General features: G+C 39.7%; 1 annotated feature.

Moving 5' to 3' along the window:
• Nucleotides 5,174-5,944: an enhancer, noted in NCBI's record as "NANOG-H3K27ac hESC enhancer chr2:119126838-119127608 (GRCh37/hg19 assembly coordinates)". NCBI's record gives its function as "activates a minimal SCP1, AML or CMV promoter by ChIP-STARR-seq in naive H9 embryonic stem cells {active_cell/tissue: H9 hESC(naive)}" and the evidence as "EXISTENCE:reporter gene assay evidence [ECO:0000049][PMID:30033119]".

The raw sequence follows: 6,336 nt of genomic DNA, 5'->3' as shown, positions 1-6,336 counted from the left end.
ACATAGGAAACATAATAATTTTGTAGTTCAAAGATGATGCAATATTTCCCAAGTTTCTTTGACACTGATAATATACAATCTGGTGGGGCAGGAAAAGGAAGGGGTAGAGGAATCACGGAGAGTGGTTCTTCTATACCTGGTAGTATGTCTTGAACCAGCTCCTCAAGGCCTTTACCCACATCACAGGCTTCGCTCAGGCAGTGTGAACACCACCCTGCAATGACTGGCCTCCTGAAAACCTAATAATGATGATGGCTCTTTTCAGTTTTTCATAGATATTTTTGTAATCCAGAAATGTCTCTTGACTACACTCAAGTAAACAGCAGGGGCAGTTTATTGTTATTCCCCATCCTCAGTTGGAGGCAGGGCTTGGTTCCTTGAGACTTGTTTTTTTCATTCCTTGAAGTAGGATCTTAAAAAAGTGAAATGATTCAAATAAAAATCCACACAGAGGCTGAGCGTGGTGGCTTATGCCTGTAATCCCAGCATTTTGGAAGGCTGAGGCAGGAGAATCACTTGAGCTCAAGAGTTCAAGACTAGCCAGGGCAATATAGCGAGACTCCTTGTCTACAAAAAATTTTAAAAATTAGCCTAGCATGGGGATGCATGCTTGTGGTCCCAACTACTTGGAAGGCTGAGGCAGGAGGATCATTTGAGCCCTGCAGATCAAGGTGGCAGTGAGCTACGATGGTACCACTGCACTCCAGCCTAGGAGGCAGAGTGAGACCCCATCTCAAAAAAAATTAAAATTAAAAAAAAATCAACACATAAAAATTCACACCCTCATTGCATTATTTTGAAAAAAAAGAAAAAAAAGTTACTTCTGCCTTTTGCCAAAACATCCTCAGGTCCACACTTCTGAGTAAAGAAGGAGAGGCAGGGTGTATACAGTGACCACTCAGTGCACAGCATCTCAATTCCCAGCACAACTAAATGAAGTTATCCCATGTTAAAGATGAAAAAACTGAGGTTCAGAGGTGGGGAGAAAGTCATGTAAGGCCACTCACTTCAGCAGCAAAGCTGGACTGCCTAAATTTAAAGCCCATGTAATTTCCATTAGAAAAGAATAACCCCAAAAAGTAACACATATCGAATTCCCAAACCATAAATACTTGTAACATTTACCAGAGAGTTAACATTTGGGGTAAGAAATGTCATAACCCAAAAAGCAAATATCTACTTCCTTGCACCAAGGAATACTTGAAAAGATATATATTTTTTCAATCCTGGGAAACTTGAGACCTTCCGGTCCAGCACTCACAAACTTATTGTTCATCATATTTCCCACTCCTGCTTCCTCATATTAGCTCCTTAATTAACTATATTTAATGTCCAGGGGCCATTATGATTAAATAAAGGGTAAGATGTGACTGGGGCTAGAAGGGGGAGGAGGTTACTTGTGCCAAGGTTCAGGGCTGGAGCTGTCATCCCTCACCAGCATGTTTTCTTCTGAAGTCAATATGTTGTTCCATTTCAAACATGCTTAAAGAAAACACAAATTGATTTCTTTGCAATTCTGAACTACTTATCAAATGGTAATGATCACTGTGTGGTAAATCTCAGACTGAAAATATGCCACGCAATGCTTAGTCATTCCGTTGATGGAACTAATAATTCTCCCCTATTCTCTCATTCTACTCTCTCTCTCTCTGTCTCTTTTTATGTCTTTCTATAATTCTGCCTGATAAGACTTAGCAACCCAGAAAGGCTTAGTGTTAGTGTGGTCAGTTCTGAAGACTCCAAAGAAAGCGCACATCTACCCGGCACCTCCCTTTCATTCATTAACCCACCAGGGGCCAAGACTAATTAGATCAGCCTGCTCATTTTGAGCTGATAATTGATTTAAATAGATTGCTCATTTAAAAGAGAAGAAAACCCTGCTAAACATTTGGTGCTTGATTTTTTTTTCTTCTTTCCCCGCAACTTTCAATTGCTTGTGCAATGTAGCATAAAATGTAGAGGTCTCCCTTTTCTTTTCTCTCTCTTTTTTAAAGGGGCCATAAAATTAATTACAATAAGTAGGCAATGGGCAGGGGCAGGGGGTTAACTGATGGCTCTAATGAGCAGCCCAGCTTTGGGAAAGCTGAGCCACTCATGCTGTTTGTTGGCTGCAAGGGGGCTGTGACTTCCAAGAGGAGCACAGCCTGAAACCCTGAAACAGTCCATCGTACTGATTCTGTTTTCATAGCAACCAAAGTAGCTTTGCTAAGCTTCAAACAAAAGGAGCTTTCCTTTGCAAAGGTGGGGACATTTTGGAATTGTCTCCTTCCCATTAAACAAGACAAGAGGCCATTCCTTGGTACTCCCCCCACCCCATAGTCCCTGTTTTTTATACAATTTGGGAGTGAGAAAGTTAGGGAAAGACTTGGTCCCATTCCGTATTCTGAAGACCTTTCTCTTCTCAAAGGGTCTTTCATGGTCCGTCCTGCACCATATTGATTTATTTCAAGTGTGGATCAAAAAAGTTTAGACTAGGCTCCTCTTTGGAAACTACATCGTCCTGCTAGTTTATACTGTTCGCCTGACTGTATCCCTTTGACACAATGAAAAGAGCTTTTGTCTGCAGCCTGGAGGGCAAGAAGTGGAAGCAACACTTGTAATTTGCTCTGGAAAATGTTCTTGCAGTGTTTCCTGTTGCTGAGAGAAGAGATTGCAGAACGTGGTAAAGGAAGCTGAGGAATGTTGCAAAATCTTTAAAGGTAAATACAATTATTGGAAATAGAAAGTTACCCACCAAAACTGCATATGCTATGTTTTAGAAGTTCATAGCTTCCAACCCTACAAAATAGCATGATTCCCATGGAAAGAACATGGGCTTTGGAGTTAGACAAACCTGGACACCCTGATTCAGTCACTTACTACTTCTGTGTAAGTCATTTGCTCTCTCTATAACTCCATTTCTTTGCCTGTATGATGGAGACACTAACGTCTATTTTGGAGGCCTAAGGGAAACATAGGGGTTAGAGAAAATATCATAGCCTAGCACTGGCTCTAATAAGTGCTCAAGAAATAGCACCTATAACGCAAAATTTGGTTCCCTAATAGCCAGGAGAGGTCATTCATCCTTGTTTTGTCATCTGTTTGAGGCTGGGCAGTTAGGGAGAAGGTAACAGTGTATTGCATTCAGGGCCAGCTTCAACCTAACATGTGCAGTAGCACAGAGCCCCACATTCAGACAGAAAGGCCCCGCTGTTACTGTCTTGAAATACTTAATTTTTGAACAGCGGGTGCTGAGAGGGGCTCTACATTTCCACATTTTGATTTTGCACTGGCCCTGCATATTCCGTAGCCCCTCCTGATTATATATGCGATTCTGCAAATGCCTGGGCCATTCCTGGCATCTTGAAGAGCCACTTATGTGGGGTCATGTCTGAGTTAGTGGCACAATGCTTTCACACTTATAAATCACATTCTTTCTGCCTCTTCAACAAATTAGAACCAGAGGTAGCCTCTCAGTTCCTGTGGGCCCAGGGCCTGACTGCCATGAAAAGCTATTCAAGAGCACATGCTAGTGGCCAAAGGTCAGAATCGCACCTCTGCAGTTCCATCCGCTGGCCCCCTGAGAAAATCCATGCCTTTTGAGTAGGTGATGGAGCCCCTACCCAAGAGAGGACAAACAAGCACGAAGCATCCCACTGTTAATTCAGCGTTCATGTGGCAGATTGTTCGCACCATTAATGACATATGAATTTAGTCTCAGGTAATTTTTTTTCAAAGCAACCAGTTGTGAAATATATTGAGAAAACACTGCCAATTTCCAATCCTAATGACAGACACACTGTAGGTAAACAAGATGAATATTTATGGGATACCTGATTGCCTAAATGAGTTCCCTAAAGTATGAATAATTGAATGTGCATATGCTAATTAATTGGGAAAAGCCAGTAGGTAACTCCTTTTTATTTACATTAGCCTCATTTTATTTCATTTCTTATAACTATTACTGTTCCCAGTTATTTCCTATGCTTCAGTAAAATTGAGTGTCATTGAGAGAATTTTTAACAGACATCATGATTCTTCATTTCAATGGATGCATAAGCCAAGGTATAATATGTAGTGATGGCTTCTCAGGCAGAGTTACTTGGTTTTGCCTAACAATAAAAGTGATTGTTCATTCATGCCTACTGATCACCAATCTTTTTACATATATTTGCTCTAATAATCCTCACACCAACTTTTTGAGGTTTGATATTGTAGAAATTATGTCCATTTTACAGAAGACAAAACTGAGACTCACAACAGTTACGTGAGCTACTCATGCTCATGTGGCTATAAGGATTAGGGCCCAGATTCAAATTTAGCCCACCTAAAAGTCATCTTTCCAGAAAGGGAATGCAATCTTTTACCTGGACTAAAATGTTTTAAAACACTTTCCTTTGCTAATCATGTCCCAAACATTGGCCACTAGAATTTCAACAAGGTGTCTAATAATTCTCACACAGACAGCCAAGTCAAAATCTAGTCAGAACAACCATTTATACTTTTTTTAGTCTATCTTTTAAATAAGTTTTATATGTCAGATCAGTTTTAAGTTTACAGAAAAATTACACAGAAAGTAGAGTTTTCATATTCTCCCTCTTCCTCCACAATTTCCCTATTATTAACATCTTGCATTAGTGTGATACATTGTTTTCTAATTGATGAGCCAATATTGATACATTATTATTAATTAAAATTCATAGTTTACATTAGAGTTCACTCTTTGCATTATGTACTTCCCTGGGTTTTGACAAATGTATATGTATCCGTCATTATATCATACAGAAGGGTTTCACTGCTTAGAAAATGCGCTGTGCTAAACCTTTTTATCATTCCATCCACCTGCCTTTACTATCCAAAACCCTGACAACCACTGATCTTTTTTACTGCCTTTTCCAGAATGTCATATAGTTAGAATCATACAGTATACAGCCTTTTTATACATTTAAGTTTCCTCCATTTTTTTTCTGTGGTTCATGTCTTTTTATTGCTGAATAATATTCCATTATAGGGATGTACCACAGTTTGTTTATCCATTCACCGATTGAAGGGCACCTTGGCTGCTTCCAAGCTTTGCCAGTTATGAATAAAGCTACTATAAATAATCATGTTCTGATTTTTTGTGTGAATGTAAGTTTTCACTTTGTTTGTCTAAATACTAAGAAATATGATTGCTAGACTAAATGGTAAGAGTATGTTTAGCTTTGTGAGAAACTGCCAGATCTATCTTCCAAAGTGGCTGTATCTATTTTGCATTCCCATCAGCAATGAATGAGAGCTCCTTGCTCTACCTTGTCACCAGCATTTGGTGGTGCTGGTATTTTAGATTTTCACCATTCTAATAGCTCTACAGTGGTATCTCATTGTTGTTTTAATTGACTATTTTTCATGTACAACTGAGAGTGAGCAGTGGTTGTCAGGCCTCTGAGCCCAAGCTAAGCCATCGCATCCCTGGTGACTTGCACGTATACACCTAGGTGGCCTGAAGTAACCGAAGAATCACAAAAGAAGTGAAAACGCCCTGCCCCGCCTTAACTGATGACATTCCACCACAGAAGAAGTGAAAATGGCCAGTCGTTGCCTTAACTGATGACACTGTCTTGTGAAAGTCCTTTTCCTGGCTCATCCTGGCTCAAAAGCTCCCCTACTGAACACCTTGTGACCCCCACTCCTGCCCGCCAGAGAACAATCCCCCTTTGACTGTAATTTTCCTTTACCTACCCAAATCTTATAAAACGGCCCCACCCCTATCTCCCTTCACTTACTCTCTTTTTGGACTCAGCCCACCTGCACCCAGGTGATTAAAAAGCTTTATTGTTCACACAAAGCCTGTTTAGTAGTCTCTTCACACGGACATGCAAGAAAGTGGTCTCCACAGTGAGACAGGTAAATCTCACAGTGTGGACAAGGTAATCCATTGAAATACACAAAGAAAAACTAGCAACCACTACTTTTATTTATTCATTACATTACAATTTTAATTTTATTCTTTATGTATATTCTTTTGTTTTGGATGTTTTCTGGGTTTTACCACATATTTTAATGTTAAAAGTTAAATTATTTTTTACTTGCAAGTAGTGTGAATAATTTTCCCCACATGGGAACACTGATTATAAAAAATGACATCCCACATGGGCTAAGTGTCTTTTTTAATTGAAAAGCTAACAAACTGTCCAGTTACATTTATCCCAAAAAACCCACAAACTGGGTAGTAACTGAGTCTCTAGGCAGTATATTTAAAGCTAAGAGGATTAAAAATGAAATTAAAGAAAAAGAAAACAAGTCCCCAGATGTGATGAAGGGAGCCCTGCTACATGCGGACTAATCAATACAGTGGTACTCCTTGACTGCAGGAGG

The sequence above is a fragment of the Homo sapiens genome, chromosome 2, assembly GCF_000001405.40.
Source record: "Homo sapiens chromosome 2, GRCh38.p14 Primary Assembly".
Taxonomy (NCBI): Eukaryota; Metazoa; Chordata; class Mammalia; order Primates; family Hominidae; genus Homo; species Homo sapiens.
Note: the sequence above shows the minus strand (reverse complement) of the source record. Positions and strands in the feature narration are given on the sequence as shown.